Here is a 23,288-nt window from a genome sequence, read left to right as displayed (position 1 = left end):
TATGTTTTTTATGAGTCATTATTAAATCTAGTTTGTTCACCTAGGTTTTTTATATACATAATGTAAAAACCAAAGGCCTAACTAAGCTGAAAATTTGTTTTTTGCTTTTTAAGTGTATTCCAGGCTTTGGGCCTGGGACTAACCAGTGGCCCCACATTGCCTGGGATGTGAACATAGCCTCTGACCAGTCTCATTTCTCAAGGTCCCTACTCCCCACTGGGTCCTAACTTTTCCTTGGGAGCCTGAGTCTGGCAGCTTTCCCTGCTCCCCTCATTCAGACCATACCATACCTCACTCTTCCTGAGAGAGCAGGGTTTCCCTGTGCACTTCACACAGGACTCCCTCAGAAGTGCATCACAGCCAGGCTGGGTGAAATCAGGGACCCCACCTGCCTCCATGTTCAGCAGGAGATGTCTGGAACTAATGCCCCTGGTAGCTTAGGGGCCAACTCACCTGGTGTTTTTCCATGCCCTCTCAGGGTGCTTTTACCGTTACTGCTCTGTGCTTCTTCCCCTCCCAGGCACTTCTTTGTGTTTTGCCCTCTGGGGGGGTCCTCTTCTTGCGTTAAACAATAGCCCTGAAACCTCAGCCTCTTTCTTTCACCTCCCTGACCATCTGAAACCTGACTTTTGTCTGAAGCTCCTCTGTCTCCCTCAGGAGTGGGGGTGAGATCATGGTCTTTCTTTTCTCCCATGCCAATTCTAGACATCAGCCACCATTCCCTCTGTGGAAACCTCTGTCCCTTTTACATGCCATCTTCTACCTCCTGGTTGCTGCCATGTCTTTTGACCTCCTGCTCGCTTGCCTTCCCCCCATCCCCCATGGCTTTGTTCTCTCCTAGCCCTTTTCCTTCATGCCAAGTTACCCATCAACCCCCACCGCAATCCTCTGTGCCTCAATGGCTTCAGACACTGATCTCTGTCTTGACCACATCCTCCATTCTCCTGATCTTTGACCCAATCACTTCCAGGTCGCCTGATCTTTTTTTCTTATATTAAAAAAAAAATATTTATGGGGGGTGGTTAACAATTTATACACAGTAAATTACATATATTTAAAATGCACATTTTGATAAGTTTTGACATAGGTATACATATATGAAATCATTACTACCATCAAGATAATGAACATAGGTACTACCCCCGAAAGTTTCCTCGTCCCCCTTGGTAATCCCGCTCTCCCATCTTTTCTCATCTCATCCCCCAGTCCCTAGGCAACCACTGATCTGCTTTTCTGGCCCTTGTAGACTAGCTTGCGTTTTCTAGAGTCTTACATAAGTAGAATCATGAAGTATGTACTCTTCTTTGTTTGGCTTTTTTCACTTGGCGTAATTATTTTAGGGTTTATTTATATTATTTCATGAATTAATAGTTCATTCCTTCTAATTTCTGAGTAGTACAGTATTCCATTGTGTGGACATGTCATAATTCCATAATTTATTCAGGTATTGATGGTCATTTGGATTGTTTCTAGCATCTGGGGCTATTATAAGTAAAGCTACTATAAACATTTATGCTCGTCTTTGTGTGAACATATGGTTTCCTGTCTCTTGGGAGTGGAATGGCTGAACCATGTAACAGTGTATGTTTAACTACTAGACTGTTTTCCAAAGTGGTTGTACCATTTTATATTCCTACCAGCAACATAAGAGCTCCAGTTACTCCACGTTCTCTTCAACATTTGTTATGATCAGTCTTTTTATTTTAGTGATAGTGGTATCTCATTGACTAATAATAATAATCTTAAGCATCTTTTTATGTGCTTATTTGCCATTACTTTGTCTTCTTTGGTGAAGTTCAAATCTATTGCCCATTAAAAAAAATCTCAGATTGATGCCTTGGAAATATTTTCTCCCCATTTCTGGCTTGTCTTTTCATTCCCTTAATAGTGTCTTTGGAAAAGTTGAAGTTTTTAATTTTTAAGAAATCCAGTTAATCAGTTTTTTCTTTTATGGATTGTGCTTTTGATGTCATGTGTAACACATGTTTGCCTAACCCAAAGTCACAAAGATCTTTTATGTTTTCATATAGCAGTTCTATAGTTTAGGTCTTTGATCCATTTTGAGCTAATTTATGTTAATTTCAAATTTTTTAGTGGAATGCTGGTTCCTCATGCTTAGTGTGGATCTTGTAGTGCCAGGAAGTTCTCTGTTCGTATTCCACTGGCCTCTTCTAGCAGGCTTGGCATACCATTAGCCCAGAGGGAGTTTCTCTCTTTCTTGCTTCTTGTTTGATGCTGATGGTGTACTGCATTGTGTGTAATTTGGTTTGAAGTGTGATATTGAGAAGGAGGTTTTAAAAAATTAAAACTAAATAAGAAAAGATTTTATAATGTTAAAGTTTTAGGTGAGAAATATCTGTATGATCTCCTGGCCTTAAAAATATTATTAAAAGATCTTTAAAAGATTGTTACTTGTTCAAAGAGAAATTGTCAAATGTGACAATTCTTACAATCTAAAATGAGAAGCAAAGAAATAGATTTTGAAAATATTATTGATGAATTTGCTTTCTTCAGAGCCAGGAAAGTAATATTATAATACATTCTTTGTTATAAATAAAATATTTAAACTAATGCTGTGAGTTTTAATACATCCAATTTTACATTTTTAAGCTACTTTAATGTTCTGCACGAGAAAAAAAAATTAAAAGTACATAGAAACACACATACAGAAGTATACCCTTTTTCTTTTCCCTCTGGTTCCTATATGGTTCAGCGGAACATTAGTAATTAAAAATTTAATATTGTTCATTATGGATTCTTTGCATTTTTTAAAATGCAATTTTTAAAAACCATTGCATGAAAATATTTATCTTGATTAATGAGTTTTTTAGTATCCCTTAAATTTTTTTCAGAATCTACACTCTTCTCTCACTAGTTGCAGCCCTGACGTTTTTACTGCCTCTTCAAAAGTAGTAAGACTTACATTCAAAGGATATTTATGGTTAAAATGTAGTAAAAGTTAGCCAATAGAAATTAGAAATTCATAGAATCAGCCCAAGTAATTAGATCTTATTTACTTATTCTTTCAGTTATTCCCATGGTCAAGGCACAGAAGAGGTGGGGTGGGTATAATTATAGTTTGAATAAGAAGTTTAAAAATCCAAACAGGCATGACATATATAGAGGAACTTAAAAATTAAAACAAAATGAGAAATGACTTGATAATGTTAAAGTAGAAATATCTTTGTGAACTTAAGGCCTTAAAAAATACCTACAGAGGGCTGGGCGCATTGGCTCACACCTGTAATCCCAGGACTTTGGGAGGCCAAGGTGGGCGGATCACCATATGGTGAAACCCCATGTCTACTAAAATACAAAAAATTAGCCAGGCATGGTGGCGCATGCCTGTAGTCTTAGCTACTCAGGAGGCTGGGGAACAAGAATCACTTGAGCCCTAGAGGCGGAGGTTGCAGTAAGCTGAGATCGCGCCACTGCACTCCAGTTTAGGCTACAGAGTGAGACCCCATCTCAAAAAGAAAAAAAAAAAGCCCTACAGAGGCCAAGCAAGGTTCTCAGCTACTTATTACCAGTCCTCATGCTATGTGCCTCCACTGCACATGTTTTTCTTGCTAATTTTTTTTTTTTTTATTATTAAAAAAGAGTTCCTTAGAGAATAGCTGATGCCCTGTCCTGTGTGGAAAATGTGCTTACCACATACCCGGCACTGTTCTGTGCATTTATATGTATTAACTCGTTTAAATCTCACTGTCAGTTGTCTGATAAGTACTATTGTCACCTCATTTTACAGATGAGAGAACTCAGGCATAGTGAGATGAAGTTACTAACTTAGGTTACAGTTAATAAATGCAGAACCTAGATTTGAACCCTAGCAGTCTAGCTTCTGAATCTGACTTATAACTGCTAAGCTGTACTGCTTCCCATGTACAAACGAGTTTTTCACTACAACAGAATAGACTAGATCAAATACATATGTATTAGTTTTCTGTTGCTGCTGTAACAAATTGCCAGATAAATTTTAAAAAGTTTGGGACCATTGACCAATATGGGTCATGTGTTCTATATGTCTGCATGTAATGCCCTTTCTATATGTATTTTTCTCCTCTGTGTGTAGAGAACAGTGGTTATAGGCATCTATAGGTAGTCCAAATACTTAAAAAACAACACTAACGGCCGGGCACGGTGGTTCACACCTGTAATCCCAGCACTTTGGGAGGCCGAGGCGGGTGGATTGCCTGAGCTCAGGAGTTTGAGATCAGCCTGGCTAACACGGTGAAACCCCATCTCTACTAAAATACAAAAAATAGCCTGGCGTGGTGGTATGCACCTATAATCCCAGCTACTCAGGAGGCTGAGGCAGGAGAATTGCTAGAACCCAGGAGGTGGAGGTTGCAGTGAGCCGAGATCGTACCACTGCACTCCAGCCTGAGCGACAGAGCAAGACTCTGTCTCAAAAAAAAAAAAAAAAAAAAAAAAAAGCACCACCACCACCAAAAACAAGCCAGACCCATCTTAACAAGGGGAAGGACTAACAAGCACCAATGCTCACACACAATGACCAGGAGAAAGTATTTCCAAGAATATGTTGCAAGATGATGGATTAGCCAGATGGCTGGAAAGAGAACTGTCTGTGCAGACTTTATCATTAGGTCTCCTGGGAGGTCTAGTATCTGTTGGCTCTGCCAGCCACCATAAGGTGTAATGAAGTAGATGTTAAACTGACTTAGAACAAACTCTCCAAGAATGGATGAACATGGGGACAAAGAACAAGGCCCCAGGTTGAGGAAAGGTGTGGGCTAGATGGACACTTGAACCTTAGCTGTGACAGAGAGAGCCAGCCTAGTAAATGTTGGCTCTAGACCAAAAATTACTGGATACAGTTTTGTGAAGGGAGAAGTTGGGGAAGGGGAGACACTTTCGCTTCATTCACTCAAGCACAAACTATTAGTTATTTAAGTGCTAGAACCTAGCCTGAGTCATGATGATGAGTTTCCTCCAAGCCCTAGTGTTAGTTGTTATGAACAGTAGAATCGTTCTAAAAGGTTCCTTCGGATTGCCAGTGATTTTTTTCTGGCTAATGAATTTCTAAAGAGTATGCATTTAGTTATTATATATGTATTTATCAATGTAGCTGTGGCTTGTATCAGTTGCCAAAACACTGGCTCTCTTGTTAGAGGAGCTCTATGAAATTCATTGGTGGAGTAAATATTATTTGATATCCAGTTGTTAAAGAGCTATCACAAACTTTTCATCAGAGGATCTAAGTAATTTTTTTCTTAAAGGATCTGAAATTTGACTGAGAGGAAAGTTCTCTTGCCTCAGATTTTCAGTATATTTCTGTTTTAAAAGATCATCTCCTTTTTTGAGGTTAAGATCCCGTTTTAGAGGCTACATAAGATATTTAGGTGGGGTTGCCATCTCCATACTGAGGTCATGAATACATTTATAGAAGACTTAGTAATAGTGTTCTATCCTCCTAAGAGAAGCTTTTCTCATTCTAGTGGGCTGCAGCACCAGTTTTTGTAGTTGACTGGAGTTCCGAGTCAGCCTTGATTCTGCCTCCTTGACAGTGACCAAAGCGCTCTGCTAGAGGATTTATTGATGGACCAAACCCCATAAATGTGGTTGTCATTGCCAGGAGAGAAACATGCCATTCTAAGTATTTGTAAAATGTTCTTGTAAAAATGTTTTGTGAGCAATTGTTTTACATTATTTTTACCTTTAGAGATTAAAAAAAAAAGCATCCATTTTATGCATGACAAGAGATATATGCGCATAATCCACTGTGGGCATTTGGCTTACCTTAATATCAGTCATTTTGACTGTTTTAAAAGAATTCTGAAGAGATACATACTTAAGGTACTTTTATCTTGAAAACGTCTTTCCCTCTGTGACATTGCTTTGCTTCTGAAGGTCAGCCTTCTTCCTTTTATTTTTAAAAAGTATATTTTTGTCATAAGTACATATTTTCTTAAAATAGATCTTTGATATGCATTTATATACTCTATTTATAATTCATTATTTTAAACTTTCAGGCTCAACTTTAAAGAAGCTTCTACACACTGGAAATTCTATTAAGGTATTTATTTTATTGTGTAATGACATTTTTTATTACTCTTAAATTTGTTAATGCCACAAAGTAACAATGTTAGGGCATTTTGGAAAAAAGATCTTTAGAAACCACTTGACTTAGTTTTAATTTTTAATTGAGAAATTATATTGTTAGGGTTTTGTTCTTACATCATAACTTATTGCGAGAGACATTTTAAATAGTATTAGGAGAAAATGGGTTGGGCTTCAGAGTTTAGAGTTCTGAGTTCTAATTCTGATTCTGCTGGGTATGGGTAGGGACCATGGGCAAGGCACTGACTGCTCCAGTTTTATCATCAGAAAAAGGAAGTGCAGTCGCCCTCTAAGCTTCAGAGCTCACATGCTTGATTCTGTCCATCTTGGTAACCTGGTTGTTAAAATTATAGTTGTCTCTAATTAATTTTACTAATTGTGAGAGCCATTGTGGGAGAAAAGAACAACAGGGTCTCACTCTTGAATATTTATTTGTGGCAGATTTATAGGTTAAAATTGGTTTATTTTGAAATGGATATGTCTTTTATTATAACATATACTTCTTGATGCTGAGATAAGATTACCCTAAAACATAAATGGCAGAAAAAATTCAGCCTGGGATGAATATTTTATGAAAGGTAATTCACTTGGAGTTAATTAAGTTGTGCGAATGCCTTTAATAAGCTAATATATTGGTTGGTTTACATTGGCTTAAACAATCACAGCCTCTGAAAACTTGATATGTTAACTATTTCTTACATGTTGAAAAAAAACGAAGTGAGTTATTCCTAGCGTCACTGTAGATTCTATATTTTGTCCCTCTTATTTTAAGGAAATAGGCTTGTAGTTAAAACCTATCAGGTTGTTAATCTCATGTTTATAACTACCCTTATTTATATTTAGTTCTCTTAAATACAGTTAACATATAACAATTGGAGACTTGTGGTAGAATTTCATAGAAACTTCCCTCTTGTTCAATTAAATATAATTTGATTAGATATACATAGAGCTGGCCAGGCACAGTGGCTCATGCCTGTAACCCCAGCACTTTGGGAGGCCGAGGCAGGCAAATTGCCTGAGGTCAGGAGTTCGAGACCAGCCTGGCCAACATGGTGAAACCCCGTCTCTACTAAAAATACAAAAATTAGCCGGGCATGGTGGCATACGCCTATAGTCTCAGCTACTCGGGAGGCTGAGGCAGGAGAATTGCTTCCACCTGGGAGGCAGAGGTTGCAGTGAGCTGAGATCATGCCACTGCACTCCAGCCTGGGCAACAGAGTGAAACTCCATCCCCCGACCCCTGCCTCAAAAAAAGAAAAAAGATATACATAGAGCCTTCTCTTCCCTCCCCTCCCCTCCCCTCCCCTCCCCTCCCCTTCTCTCCCCTCCCCTCCCCTCCCCTCCCCTCCCCTCCCCTCTCGGTCTGATGGCTGAATAGTAATGTTACCACTCATTTTACCTGCTTGGGAGAGGAGGACAGGTGTGAGTGGGCATGGAGGTTTGTGCAGAACAGTGGTGGAGTCCAGGACTGTGTTTGGAAGTACACTGTGAATTTACCCCGTTAATGGGGCAGTACTGTCACCAGCTGGGGTGTCTGTCCTAGTGTATTTTGGCTTCTATTGGGAGAAAGCAGAATATTTTTATTTATTTATTTAGGCTTTTCTCCACTTTTTGGTTTGGTTTTCTGGCAAAGCTTTGTGTTTGACTTGCAATATTCTTGCTCTGGTGGAGTCAGCACCACCTTGAATTAATTGAAAGGAGATGAGGCAGTCACTCCAGTTGCTGGCATTTGGAGCTCACTACATCTTTCAGCTGCATGTGACATTTTTTCAACCTCTTTTGCTTTTTTTTTTTTATTGACATAATCTTTTCAGTTATTTAGGAATACAGAAATGGAGGGACATGTGCTTTTGAATTCTAGGAATGGGATAAATTTGAAGTGTAAAGAAAGAAAAAGGACACATCTCCCTATGTAGATGTCTCCTACAGCGTGATGCTGGCAATTCAGAGCATGGCAAAGGTGTTGGAGAAATAGAATAGGGACATAAGGTATAAGAAGAGCTGCTCTGTCTCATTGAGGTTATTTAGCTCCATATCTTCTGATTCTCAAGAACATTATCAACATGGCATATTATAGTGATAGCACATGTAAATTTGGAGGGAGATTATCTTTGTCATTGTTTTTATGGATAATTGAGGCCGTGGGTACTGTTGCCTTACAGAATAAGATACTATTAACAGGAAACACTTACATAGTGCTTACTGGGAGTTAGCCATTGTGTTATTTGGTTTACATATGTTAACTCAGTCTTTATCATAGTCTTTTGTGGTAAATGTCTTATCATCCTTATTTTACAGATGGGGAGACTAAGGCATGGAGAAGTTAAGTGGTTCTCCATGGGTCCCAGCTAGAAAGTGGCAGCGCTTACATTTGAACCCAGGCACTTTGGCTCCAGAACCCAGGCTCTTAACTCTTGTGCTGTATTGCAGCATCTTTGCTTATTTGTCACTAAGTGAAGAATTTGGTTTACTACTTAACACACCTTTAACTTGTAGTTTTTCTTTCTCAAGACCGATGCTACATTGTAATGCATTTCTGTAAATACATGTGTTTCATTTTCATTGTTTTTAATTTTGTTTTAGATAAGATGTGAAGGAATCAGGCTGTTTCTTCTGTGGCTTCAAGCACTTCAGACAAACTGTGCAGAAGAGCAGGTTCTGATTTTTGCTTGCCTGGTGCCTGGTTTCCCAGCAGTCATGTCATCCAGGGGCCCTTGCACACTGGAGACACTCATCAATCCCAGCCCTAGTGTAGCTGATGGTAAGTTATGTTAGCAGATCTCCCATGTTGAAATTACTCTTGAACTTACATTGAGGAATTCTTACTTTTTCATTTTCTTGAATAGAAATCCTGATGGAGTCTGAAGAGGAATTATTCCCCTTTCATATTCACTGTAGATTCTTACATACCTTAGAATCAAAAGACTTGGAGCTTATTTTATATGAAATGAAAACAGGAGAAATGTACTGAAGTGATGGAAGCAGGAATAGGAGGGGACAGATGTTGGCAGTAGCACGAAGTAGAGACACATGGGAAGTCTGGACTGGTTTTCTGGCTGTTAATGAGATTAAACTCCACCATCCAAAGCTATTGTTTTTATTGTTCTTATCACTGTTGTTCGTAAGTGGACATTCATCTGCTCACCAGGATCTTATTTTGCCACTGTATTTTCCTGCATCATCTATGGAAGGACAATAGTGGCCTCATGGGACTATTAACGGTGGTCATTTGTGTCCTGTGAGTTTTCAAGGAACTTGCCTGTTAGGACCATTGATTTATTACTGTATATTGCGTTATTGCTTAATGACTGGCATTTGATCTTGGGCTGACCAAAGCAGAATTTGAACGGGAAAGAATGGTGCAGCAGGAGAAGGCGCTTCGTGGGCATCTGGGCTGTGTTTCCAGGCCCTTTATGCACACTGCCTTGGAGTGTGCTCCTCAGTGTGAGCTGCTTCAGTGGATGGAGAGATGTATTTTAATAGAGACCATTTTTAAAACCCTAAATTCTGTTTAAAATTTAACTTTGGTGAATGAGCTGTCATCATTTTCTGTCCTTTCAGTAAAGATATATCCAGAAGAAATCACTCCACTCCTACCAGCCATATCAGGGGAGAAGATTGCTGAGGACCAAACCTGCTTTTTTCTTCAAATACTGTTGAAGTATATGGTTATTCAGGTCAGAGAAAAATTATGACTATTTCAGTGATGGGTTTATTCTCAGCAGGAAGAGGAAATATTGCCTCTTTTCCCTCTGTGTATCTATATTTTTCCTCTTTCTTTTTCTTTGAGGTGATTTTATGTGATATTTCAGCAAATGCAGAGTGTGTACCATTTTTTAGGTCACTTCAGCAAGACCAGCTGTATGTACTATTTTGTGAGTGTGTTTAAACCATTTTTCTCTCTTTACTCCTTTCCTACCCCTAATCTCTATGCTTGCAAGACAGGTTGAAGGAGGAGGCGGGCCCAGAGGCTGAACAGGTGGACAGGAATAGGCAGAGCAGACCAGGGGATCTGAAGGGAAGCACATGGAGCAATCTCCTCATGCCATTGGCACAGGCCTCCTTTATGTCATGTATTATTTTTCTCATATGCACCAATTGCCTACAGAACTGAAGTAACTGGTTTATGATTTTAATAGGAGATTTGTGACTCCTGGTCTAGATTTCTGAATAATAGTTAGAATAAAATGTACTGATTCTTTTTTCTCAGCAAATACTTCTCTTGTCCTTGAGTTCATCCTGGGTATTGTCCAGTATCTGTCTTCCCCTTCACAACCGAGTTGTTGAAGTAATAATCTCTACTGAGTTCACATCCTCATTCATGTTCTTTTGACACCCACTGTTAGCTGCCTTCTGCCCTGTCACTGCTAAAGTGGCAAGCCCCAAACCACAAGGGTTCTAGGGTCAGCCCAGAAGGAGGGCACACTTCAGGTTTTGCTCTCCTCATTCTTCGAGGGGATTTAACTACCCCTCCTTCATGAGATTCTCTCCTCTTCTGATATTTTCTCTGGCAATTCTCCTCCCTTCCTTTCACTCCTTTCTAGTTTTCTTTAGGGAACTGTGCTTTTCTCTGCTGTCTCTCAAGATTCAGTACTTGGCTGCTCTTTCTGAATACTTAGCAATTTTGTCCCCTTTCCTTGCCCCTTTGCCTTTAGCCAGCAACAGAAACACAGGACTTCACAATCCTGAGAACCTGACTGGGGCATGCTTTCATATTCTGGAAACTCCACATTTGAACTCTAATGGCCCATTCTAGATGCATCTCAAATGCCAGCTGTTCAGAAGTGTTTGGACATTCAGTTTATCCTGGAAAATCAACAGAGTATCCAGAACTTGTGTTGGGGGCCTTGGGTTCTCATTCTAGGTGTGTCACTAATGAGTTGTGTGACCTCAGATAAGGCGGATGGAATTGATATAGGATAGAGGTTTGCATGCAGACTGTGAACTTCCTAATTGTGTGCAGAGTTTTAGGTGCATATCTGTGCCTCCCTTCTGCCTTCTCTTCTGTCGATTGAGATGAGTTCTCAGAGCACAGCTTTTGGCAGGTTATGGATGCTGAACCCCGCTGCCCCTGCGGTAGCCAAAGCATCTCATCCCTTTACCTCAGGTGCTGCACAAATTTCATTTTCTAAGTGGGCATGTCAGGAAGGAAGTTGGGAAGCCCTGCTTTAGAGTGCTCTGTGGTCTAACAAGCATTAAGAACCACCAACAGGTCTTATCTAAGGGCTGTGTTTCCCTAAGTCATGTTGGGGGTGACTGCACTTGTGTAACCAGGCTGTCCTCCTGGCTCCTGAGGGGCGGTCCCAGCTATTGAGCAGTTTTGGAGTGCTCCCACTATGCAAACACTGATGGGTTTTTGAGGGGGAGGATATTATCTCAACACAATGAAACATTTAAACTTAATCCATAGTGGACTGGCATGTCTGGTTTATCGTAGCCTTTGAATTTTTTTAATACGGAGAATGCATTTTCCAAGATTCCATGGCTTTTGCCTTTTGATATTGGTTTTACATGTAGGTAACATTGGTTGAAATTCTTGAGAGGGATTGTTTCTTTAATTTCTATTTATTATAAATGGCCTTTTTCTGAGTTTAGAAAAAAACACCTGATTGTTTGTGACTAAATGTTTTAAAGGCACAAGGAATGTTAGATAATTACAAAAAACGTAGAGAAAAAATATGGGCATGATACATTACAGCACGTTATAAAAGATACGATATCATTGAGCAATTTGGTTCTAAGTAAAAATGCTGTTTTTAACATAGTTACTGTTTTGTTTTGAAGTATTCATTCCTGCCATCTTTTGAGCTTTGTTATTATTTCATTACATGATTGTCAATATTATTTGTCATTTTTTACATTTAGGTTAGGAATTTTAGTAACATAACAACACTTCAGTTTAGTATATGTTAATTTGAAATATAAATATACATATGTTCTTTTCCACATATTATCCAAAGGCTGCGAGCTTGGAGTGGAAGAATAAGGAGAATCAAGATACTGGTTTTAAATTTCTTTTTACATTGTTTCGAAAGTATTATCTTCCTCATTTATTTCCATCATTTACTAAGTTAACAAACATCTACAAACCTGTACTTGGTAAGTACTGTTGGAGCCGTGTATAGAGGATATCCAAAGGAAAGCTATGCAGTCTCTTTCAAAGTGACCTTTGATTATTTTAAAGTAAAATAGTCATTTTATTTTTGTATTGAATGGTAACTTTATTATTAAATGTTTAAAGTTTCTTAATAAGTGATTTTAATTATTTGTACCAACTAAGATATACCTCAGCTTACAGCAGTAAAAGGGAACCGTGGCTCCTATACTCAGAAATAATTTGAAATGTATTTATGATATTTTTGGTATAATTACATTGTCATCTTTTAATGTAAAAATCTCTGCATTTCCTGAAGTCTTTCCTTGTGGGTGGTGGGGTATGGCGACCTCAGGCTTTGCTCAGTGACTGGAGGCCAGCCCAAGGCAAACAGCTGCCATTGTATGCCTTTTATTTTATGCTGGGTCCTGCATCCAGCAGCTACTACTGACAGGTGCTTATGGAGAACCAAATTTTAGGTGATTGGACAAGCTATGGACAGTAAGCCCCAGAGGACTAGGAAACAGAAAGGAATTTCCAATTTGGCTCCTAATGTTTTTTTCTTCTGTAAGCAATGAGGACTCACAGGACAGAAGCATCCCTTAGAGTGGTAAAGGTGGGGGTCAAATCTTCCTCTCCCTATTATTTAAAACAGGTAAAACTAGTTCAAATGAATAATTAAAAACAGTTTTGGAGGGGAAGTGGTGACACGAGATGTTACTTTTTTGGGGAACATGGTCACCTGATTCAGTTGTCTGTACTCTGTGTGTTTCTATGTATGCGTACACACACACACACACACACACACATACACACACACACACACACGGGGAGAGAAGCCAAAACTTGGTGAGTTTTGAAAGATGTAGAATTACTGACTTTTAGGTGCACTGGGACATGTATTTCTTTAGCTATATATATGTGAATATTTTTTCAAAATTTGTTTCTGATTTTATATGTAGTCTAAATTCATTTTAAAAACATGGTATATTGTTAATATTCCTAGATTAAAAGTTATTTGTTGATCATTTTTCTGCCTCATACAGGTATTCCAGATATACAAAAATTATTAAGATAGAGAGTTGAACTTATGGCAAGTAGTATCTCAAATCCAATACCATATAATTTTCATATTGATTATGGAATTTAAAGAATGAGAAACTGACTTCTTATTAAGTCTTTGGAAAAGGTAGCATTTGATGCCTCAAAGGTGAAATGTGACTTTCTTAATTCTTTTAAATATAAAGTAGATGATATTGATTCTGTTTCATTGGATTCATCTAAAGGGAAAAGGATATAAACCTCTAAAGTTCAGTGGATTTAATCACTGCAGTGTTAGATGTTAAAATACCTAAAATGATGTTTTAAAAGTTCATATATACTTTTACATTTGTTCCAGCTATAAAATAAAATTAAATTAGGTATAATGTATGTGAAAAGATGTTTACTATTATAGTCTCATGTAATTTATCAAAATTGTTAAAAATAGTTGTTAGCTTAGTTTTTCCATAGCTGTATATCATAGATACATAAACAATCACCATCATCACTCATTCTCAGTCAGATCACAAGGCGGAATCAGAAAGGAGCCTACCAAAAAAATGCCATTTTAAATAATTGCGGTTCTTCATTCTTAGTTGCTATTTAGACAACCAAAAATTGGATTTAATTGGAAACCAAAACATTTGTAGGGATTACTTAATGTTATGATTTATTAACCTAATCAATCATGTGTTCTTTCTTCTACCAGACATCCCCCATTTGAGACCAAAGCCTGTGTACATTACTACCACTCGAGACAATGAGAACATTTACAGTACAAAGATTCCATATATGGCAGCTCGTGTTGTTTTTATTAAGTGGATTGTAACCTTCTTTTTGGAAAAAAAGTATCTAACTGCAACACAAAACACTAAAAATGGAGTTGATGTATTGCCTAAAATCATCCAGGTATGCCATCCATCATCTTTTTATCTGTTAATGCTTGTGTAATAAAATACACTGGAACATAGCCAAAGTTATTGATTGTTAGAGTTATTGGTTCTTACAAGTTGTTGGTTATAGGTAAGTGATTTTATTGGCCTACCCTGTCTGTAATGCCAAGGTTTCAGAGGGAGTTGTGAGTTTGAATCACTTGCTGTGCATTGTTGGGACTGCCATGATGATGCAATCTCGGGAGCCATTTTGAGAAGATAGCTGTTGTGTGCACACTCCTGGCTCCTCCTCATTCTCCTCACTTGAGTACCAGTGGCCTCTGAGCATGAGAACAGAGGCCTGTCTTGCTTTCACCAAGCCCCAGTAGCTGGAAGGCACTTAGGAAACTGTAAGTGGCCCCTGGAAAGGACCTGTGAAGCTGCCGAGCACCCTCTGGCATCTCAGGAGAGGGAAGTAGATCAGCAGCTCAGGATTTGGGGCTGGCTGTTGAGCAATGGTGGGGCCCCTAGAAGAGAAGCCCACCTCTTCCCAGAGGCCTTCAGAAGAGACCTCTCCTTGTGTGGGGCCTGTTGTGCTTTTTCTCTCTTGGCCTTGGTCAGCCATACACAATTGGGGTCTTTCCCAACAGGCTGAGTTACTTAGGGACTTGGTGGAGCACTACCATTTGTGGAGGTCAGAGAGCAGCCACTTCGCTAAGGGATCATGGTGTTGTGTGCTCTTTTGTTTATTGTCCCCAAGAACAGGGATAGGAAGTCTGGTCCACTGACTGCAGATTTGCCGATGCCCTAGAAGTCTCAGAACTCCGACCTAGGCCTGAGCTGAAAGAATGCACAGACCTGAGGAGGCAGATAAGTGGCTCTTGTGCTTCAAGGTTATTAGGAACCTTGATGGAGGAACACCAAACAGTCTAGAGCATGCGGCTCCACTGGGGAGAAGTCACTGAAGAGTTAGAGGAGAACTTATTTTTAAGATCTGAGGGAGGTGCAGTTACAGTAAGAACAATGAAAGACTTGCTGAAAGAAAGTTTTAAGAAACCTTTAAATGTCTTAGTTTAAAAAATTAGCAAATAAAATGAAAATGATAATGATTATTGCTGGGAAAAAAATTAGTTTTCTGAAAAAAGATCCCATGACAGTGACTAAAAACTTAGAGTTCGAAATCAGAAATTAGTAGACAAGATCTAAGTACAGGTCCCTACCTTACAAATATTAGGTGGGTGGAAGAAGAAGAGAATGAGAATAATTGAACAAATAATAAGAGTTTATCTGAACTGAAAAAAAAAAATAAAAAGGTGTGCCTCAAACTTAAAGGGTCTTTGAGTCCCAGGAAAAAGTATCAAGATACAAACCTAAACAGACATTTGATTTTCAGGAATTAAGAGACAGTAGTATAGGTTTCCAGACAGGTTGCTTCAAAGGAATGAGACTGAGATTAGTATTGAACATCTAATCAAATCTGCAATCCTGCAATCTCTTTCTCTCTCTCCTTCATACACATACACATCCCCCCACAGGATGTCAGTCAAGATTAAAAGAAAGAATCATTAATTAATGGTATTGGAATAGTTGGCTAGAACCTTGCCTCTTACAACATACTGAAGCAAATGTCAGATTTATTTAAGGTCTACAATAAAAACAAAATAATGAAGAAATGTAGGCTGGGCACGGTGGCTCACACCTGTATTCCCAGCACTTTGGGAAGCTGAGGCAGGCAGATCATGAGGTCAGGAGATCGAGACCATCCTTGCTAACATGGTGAAACCCCATCTCTAGTAAAAATTAGCCGGGCGTGGTGGCGGGTACCTGTAGTCCCAGCTATTCAGGAAACTGAGGAAGGAGAATGGCATGAACCCAGGAGGCGGAGCTTGCACTGAGCGGAGATCGCGCCACTGCACTCCAGCCTGGGCGACAGAGCGAGACTGTAAGAGAAGGGAAAATCCAGGAGAGTGTCTAAATTTGGGAAGTGGTAGACTACCTTAGGTAGAAATAAGACCCAGTAGGCTGGGCGCAGTGGCTCTCGCCTGTAATCCCAGCACTTTGGGAGGCCAAGACAGGCAGATCACTTGAAGTCAGGAGTTCGAGACCAGCCTGGCCAACATGGTGAAATGCCGTCTCTACAAAAAATACAAAAATTAGCTGGGCGTGGTGGTAGGCGTCTGTAATCCCAGCTACTCGGGAAGCTGAGGCAGGAGAATCGCTTGAACCTGGGAGGTGGAGGTTGGAGTGAGCAGAGATTGTGCCACTGCATTCCAGTCTGGGCAACAGAGTGAGACTCCCATTTCAAAAAAGAAGAAAGAAAGAAAGAAAAGAAAGAGAGAGAAAGAAAGAGAAGGGAGGGAGGAAGGAAAGGAGGAAAGAAAGAGAAAGAGAAAAGAAAGAAAGGAAGGAAAGAAAAAGAAAGAAAGAAAGAGAGAGAGAGAGAGAAAGACCCAGTAGCCGTGGAAGAAATGAGGTTTGACTTTATTTAAAAAAAAAAAAGTGAAAGATTTTTATGTCTAAAGACTACAGAAGGCCAAATCCAATCAATAGACTATGAAGTAACATTGTGACTGTTAAAAGAGTTAATATCTCTGCTATGTAAAGAGTACCCATGGACTGGTAAGAAGACAAACAACCCCACTGAAAAATAGACTAAGGAGATGAAAGGGCAGCTCATAGAAGGCAGACTACAGGGACCCCTGATTTCACCGGCAGTCAGAGAAATGCAGTTAGTTCTGAACCATGATGAGATACCTTTATTCACTTATCAGGCAGACAAAAATCTGTATGAAATTATGTGTAGGAAACTCAGTCATGCTCTTTGGCAAATTTACATCACATCTTAAGTGATTGTCACTCAGTTCAAAAAAGTCTTAATTAATGGGTGTAACCTTTCCTCTCTGGTTTAAAAAGGTCAGAAAACCATCACCTGTATTTATTGAAAATAAGTAGCTCATTCTTGAAAAGTACATCTGGATGATGAGAAGTAGAAAGAACAGCAAATTAACCACTGCTTCCAGCTTCTGATTTTTTCTTTTACTTGACTCTTCACAGTTGTGAGTCATCTACTTTTACTATCTAGCTTTTTTAACATCTTAAAGGTTGGAACTTTGGAATCAATTAGGGGCCGGGCACGGTGGCTCACACATGTAATCCCAGCACTTTGGGAGGCCGAGGCGGGCGGATCACGAGGTCAGGAGATCGAGACCATCCTGGCTAACACGGTGAAACCCCGTCTGTACTGAAAAAAAAATACAAAAAAATTAGCTGGGCATGGTGGCGGGCGCCTGTAGTCCCAGCTACTCAGGAGGCTGAGGCAGGAGAAAGGCATGGACCCAGGAGGCGGAGCTTGCAGTGAGCGGAGATCGAGCCACTGCACTCCAGCCTGGGCAACTGAGCGAGACTCTGTCTCAAAAAAAAAAAAAAAGCTGGGTGTGTGAATGGGCCAGGAGATGTCATGATTGTCCTCCACAAAACAGATTGGTCCCTAGTACTGTGGATGGGGTCAGCTTCCTGCAAGTCAGTTGAGGTGCATGGGAGGAGGCACACAGAGGACTGAGGTTCTGGTAGGGAGGGAGAAAGAGTGCTGGGCTGACAGCCATTTGTACCTTCTGTGCCATCATACCCTGCAGTTGACTGTCCCTAGAAATGGCCACTACCATTCTAGAGACTGCCACTATACCTCACAGTAAGTTGTTGTGTTAGTTTCTTACTGCCACTATTGCAGATTCTCACAAACTTAATGTCTTGAAACAGTACAAATTTATTATCTTACAGTTCTGAAAGTCAGAAATCCAAAATCAAGTTATTGGCAGATCTGTGTTCCTTCTCAAGGTTCTAGGGGAGAATCCTGTGTTCTTGCCATGTCCAGCTTCTAGAAGCCACCTGTATTCCTTGGCTGTGGCCCTGCATCACACCACCTTTTCTCCCAGTTTCCATCATCACTTAGCCTTCTTTGTCTCTTATCCTCCTGCCACCCTCTTATAAGGACCCTTGGATTATATTGGGACCATTTGGATAATCCAAAATAATTTTTCTATCCCAACATCCTTAACTTAATCACATCTGTTATGTCTCTTTTGCCCTGGAAGGTAACACATTCGCAGATTCTGGGGATTAGGACATCCTTGGGGAAGTCATTATTCAGCCCACCAGCACTGGTTGGTCTGCAAGGTCCAAGATGACTTCGTTCAGATGCCTGCTACTTGATGAGGGCAGTTGGAAAGGAAAGCTGGGCTCATATGGGACTTCTTGTTCTGTTTTCTGGTTAATAAGGTAGTTGAACTTCTCATATGCCTACTCAGGGCTCCAAGAGTGAAATGTTTCAAGAGATGGGAATTGTTAACTGTCAGCCTCTTGGGCCCGGGTCTGATAGTGGCTAGGTCTCTTCCACTCTATTCTACTGGCTAAAGCAGTCATACAGTCCATGTAGATGAAAGGGAGGGGACATGGGCCTCACGTCTCTGTGGAAGGAGTGTTAAAGAATTTGTGGTCATCTTTAATTTGCTATCTATGTGCATATTTTTTTTTTCTTTTTTAGTTTGTGGGGAAAATGGGAGTTATAGGTCAAAAAGTCACAGGTTATTGAGCCATAAGAGACTTTAGACCTAATCTAGCCTCTGTGTCCTACAGATTAACATATATGCGTGTGTATATGTGAAATCCAAGTGCGTTGCGTGGGTTGCCTTACAGTTAGGAATGTGGAGAAGCAAGTTTTTGAGACTTAGTTTGGGCCTCTTCTTTCTGTACCATACTCATCCTTGAGTCATTCCTGCTGAAGCTTCAGATAGAAAAAGAATAAAATGAATAAAGTTTTATTTTCCTGTGGAAGATAGTGGATCTGTAAAAAAGATAAAATAATTTCCATAGGTGAGCACATCTTACAGTGCGACAGTGCCTTTCATAAGCCACACAGGCTTAGTAACTAAGGCATGAAGAGAAAAATTATTACAAGTATAATCCATTAATTTTCTCTAGAGATTACTATTGGATATCTGTTTTGTTTTCAAACTGTCCTTGGTAGTTACTGAAATTACTGTTTTGTACTATTCATATCTTGTCTCTTCTTGTAAAAAATACTCACAGTGGGTAAATTTTAGTTGTATTTGGGCTATATATTTTTGACACTTAAAAGTAATAATGGAGTTTGCAAAGGTGAAGCAAAATTATATGTATATTTTGTTTGGAGTAAACCTTTAATTCTATGTGGATACGAGAGCAGAAATCAGTGTTAAGCTTTGTGAGTGATTGCATGAATTACTTCATTTCTTTGGATGCCTAAAGTCTTTTAAATGTTTAAAATTTTGTGAATATTTATTTATGTTTGACCTAAGATTCTGAGGATAAAGCTCAGATCAGCATTCTTCTGATAAAATACACTTTAAAGATCTTCACACTCCACTGTCAAGCTGCCGCTTAGTCATATGAATCAAATGATGCCTCCTAGCATTGTTGCTGCAAGAAGTCCCCTGAATATTCCAATCTCTGTGACCATAGGAGCAAATGCTAAAGTGTAGAGACCTGATGTGATGATAATACAAATGTTTTTACACATTAATTTATTCTGTGGTTTTACAATGCAAATTAAACCTTTTAGATTGGGAAAATTTCACAGCCCTCCTTTCTGAAATAGCTTAGTAGTTTTCCTCTTAAAATAGCTGAGTTGGGAGGGATTTGTTGGTTAGTTAGAAAATTGGTAAGTACAGGCTCTGGAGCCTATCGTGCTTCAAGCTGGTTTTGGTTTGCTGTACCCTGTGCACATTGATGGTAACCAGAGTTACTTAAAACAAGGCAAGACTGAAGTTTTGCCAGGTGTTCTTGAGTGGGGGTGAGCATCATTGAGAAGTGTGCTGACTTTCTTCCAGACTGTTGGTGGTGGTGCTGTGCAGGAGAGAGCGCCTGAGCTGGATGGTGGTGGGCCCACGGAGCAGGACAAAAGCCATTCTAACAGCAGCACCTTGTCGGACCGAAGACTCAGCAACTCCAGCCTCTGTAGCATTGAAGAAGAGCACCGAATGGTGTATGAAATGGTACAGCGGATTCTCTTGTCAACACGAGGTTATGTCAACTTCGTGAATGAAGTATTTCACCAGGTTAGTGTGTGTGTGTGTGTGTGTGTGTGTGTGTGTGTGTGTTACAAGTTCTTGAAATGGAAATGATTTTGTTTCATGTTCTTTTACTTGTAACACGCCAACAAATAGAATTGGTGAGTTGGGTTATGTTACAGAACTGAATAATAAAGAACGATCCCTCTAATCTTTTAATTTGTGAGGATTGTTGTGATTTTTAAATTTTGTTGTTGCAAAATATTTACACAAGGAGGGAAAATTCTATATTTGAGCAAAATCATGAGACAAATACTTTCATGTTTTTATAACAAAGTAAACCCAGAGTTAGGTGGGAAGAAAGCCGTTCCTGAATACCCAGCAACAAATGAACATAGCAAAGAAGAGTCCAGTCTTCTTCCCAGAGCCTCACGGAGCTCTCTGAGGAGCTGGAGGTTTCTGCAAAAACTCTGCAGAGGCGTGTGGCACTCACAATATGATAGAATTATTTATGGCACAAGAGAAAAAGGTAGGTGGCAAGGGGAATAAAAGGAAAGAAAGGAGCAGAGGCCAAGACACGAAAAGAGGTGTGAGCAAAGGAAGGAGACAGAAGAGGTCAGAAGCCCAGGCTACGGTTAGTGGCCGTGAGTGACATCAGAGGTTTGCAACTGGGTTTGATGCTACTCCCTAGGGGACATTAGCAATGTCTGGAAACAGTTTTGGTCATCACAACTGGGGAGGGGGTGCTACTGGCATCTTAGTGGGTCGCAGCCAGGGATGTTGTTAAATATCCTGCAATGCCCAGAATGGCCCCCACCCCCACCATGACAAAGAACTATCTGGCTCAATGTGTCAGTAGTGCTGCTGTGGAGAAACTCAGTACTAGCCTTCAACACAGCAAACAGAGCTCCCACAGGTCTGGAGTGTGGCGTGTGGCCAGTGCCACTTGACTCTAGGTACTGGTGCTCTTGAAAACAGGGAATGTGGCCTATTGGTGGGTATGTGTATATGAGGTGGAATAGTTGTTTTGTCCATAGACCTGAAAAGTAGGTTAAGCCCTTGAATGGCAGAGTCCAGTTGTAGGTGAGGAGGAGAAGAAGAGTCTTAGACATATGAATGACGGGAATGCACCACAGAGAACTTCTTATGGTGAGGCAAGTTTTTGAGATAGTGAATGTTTGGCCCTCTCACTTCTGGGACTTTCATTACAAAAAATCAACCAAAAACAAAGTCACAACCTAATCTATAGCAGTGTAGAGATTTTACCATATTTTCATTTTAATGAAGAAAAAATTTTACTTAAGAAAATGTTTGTTTAGTCTGCAATTAACATTCCACTTATAAAATATTTTTTTCTGGTTCTGTGGCCCGGCACTGCCTTGGTTCTTCTCACTCTCTGTGTCTTCTCTGTTTCATGTCTTGGCCCCTCTTTTTGTTTCACCCCAAATTACAGGTGTTAACCAAGATTCAGGGCTCAAGTCTCTGCTGTAATTCTACACTTGCCTCCTTGGGGCCTTTACTGCCTGTCCAGTGCCAGCAACCACTGTGGCATATGACTCCCAGTCAAGCCTTTTGTCTGGACCTCACTTGTAAATAAAAACATTAATTTCATTAAACAAATTTTTTATACTCATGAAAGATTTGTTACTGGCAGCGGATATACCACACCAGGAGCCGGAAAGCATAATGCAATGCTACAGAGGCCGGTTACACCTGAGCACAGCTTCAAGGGCCCTCCCTCTGCTGCACAGAAAGTGTGCCCTCTCGGGATCATGATTCACCAACATGAGAGTGAGATGTCTGTCTCAGGGAAGACAGGGCACAAGTTTACTGAGAGGGCTTTTAGACCTAACTAATCACATGGCCAAAATCAGGCAGAATGACTGGGTAAACCAGGTGTAGACTCTCAGTGTCTACATTGTCACTGAACAATGTAGACAAGGTGGCACTGGGTGCCTCCTACACTTGCCTTTTAAAATGCCCACGTGCCATCCAATCTGATGTTCCTGTAGTATCTTAATGATAACAAGACCAAAGCCGGGCTGATTTTTTCCCCTAATATCAACTTCTTCTCCTGACTTGACTGCTTCTTCAAAGGGACCTGTATTCATGTTTGCATCTTAATTTTAATGATCCTAGGTTCCCCATCTCCCTCTCCTCCTATGACAGTCACTGGACAAGTCACACAGGAGTTTTGCTCACTCCTTTCCTCTCCATTTTCTTTGACTGTGGTTAGCAGCCCTCTCCTTGGAGCTCCCATCCTTCTGTGTCATCCCTTTCTAGGTAGTACTGCACACATCATACTGCCACAACTTTTCTTTTTATCGTAATAGTCCACGATTTTAAAATCTACCCCATTCCCTACATTAATGTTGTCATATTCATGCTCCTGTTGTACATGTGAAAGGTCCATAGCAACTATTGATTTGAAATAGTCAAGGTCCTGGAGTGTATCATCTATAGCAGGGGTCAGCACACTTTTTAAAGCAAAAGGCCAACTAGTAAATATTTTAGGCCTCGTGGATCGTACGTCTCTGTCACAGGGGCTAAACTCTGCTATGGTAGCAAGAAAGCAGCCAGAGATACATGTAACAAGTGAGGATGGCTGCGTTCTAGAAAAATTTTATTTACAAAAATAGGCAGCAGGCTGGATGGTTTGCTGACTCTGATCTATAGTAACATTTTTAAATGCTTGAATGAAAATACTTCATATCAGATAAGATGACATTAGCAAGGCTTTTAGATCTTAGACAACAGATAAATGCTATATTGTTGTGGTTTTACCTTTATTGTGTAATTGTTAATTTATCATACAAATAATTCTGACTGTATCTGTTATTGGCATCCTACCCCTGGCAATAGTGTGCTCTAAATTCTAAATTCAGTCTAAATATTAAACCCAATCTAAATTCAATTTTGAAGTAGTTTTGATCATTGAGGTGACTATAGACTACATATGACTGAAGTTATGAGACATCTTAGTGTCATGAAGCTTAAAAACATTTACATTTTATAATTTTTCTTAACCAGATCTAATTTGAAAGAGTAACTGTGTATGTGAAGTTTAAAATCTAAGTATTATGTGTTGTTAAAATACTGAAATAGAAACATTTGGGAAAAGAGGAATGGGTTTTACAATTGCATTTTATTGCTCTG

The 23,288-nt window shown here is 39.8% G+C and overlaps 1 protein-coding gene across 18 annotated transcripts in view; it reads left to right on the top strand.

The window, feature by feature from the left end:
- RALGAPA2 (Ral GTPase activating protein catalytic subunit alpha 2) overlaps positions 1-23,288 on the top strand; it is a 323,115-nt gene that overhangs the window by 63,102 nt on the left and 236,725 nt on the right. For all 18 annotated transcript variants that reach the window (XR_007067471.1, XR_937111.3, XR_007067470.1 and 15 more), the window contains 6 exons: positions 5,994-6,037; positions 8,665-8,842; positions 9,643-9,758; positions 12,042-12,180; positions 13,926-14,125; positions 19,953-20,180. Coding sequence is in view for 10 of the 18 variants with exons in the window: in XM_005260768.3 (XP_005260825.1) it covers positions 5,994-6,037; positions 8,665-8,842; positions 9,643-9,758; positions 12,042-12,180; positions 13,926-14,125; positions 19,953-20,180 (905 nt within the window). In the remaining 8 variants the exon portion in view is untranslated. The remainder of the gene's footprint in view (positions 1-5,993; positions 6,038-8,664; positions 8,843-9,642; positions 9,759-12,041; positions 12,181-13,925; positions 14,126-19,952; positions 20,181-23,288) is intronic.

Source organism: Homo sapiens, chromosome 20 (genome assembly GCF_000001405.40).
Source record: "Homo sapiens chromosome 20, GRCh38.p14 Primary Assembly".
NCBI lineage: Eukaryota > Metazoa > Chordata > Mammalia > Primates > Hominidae > Homo > Homo sapiens.
This window is presented reverse-complemented; position numbering and strand designations above follow the sequence as displayed.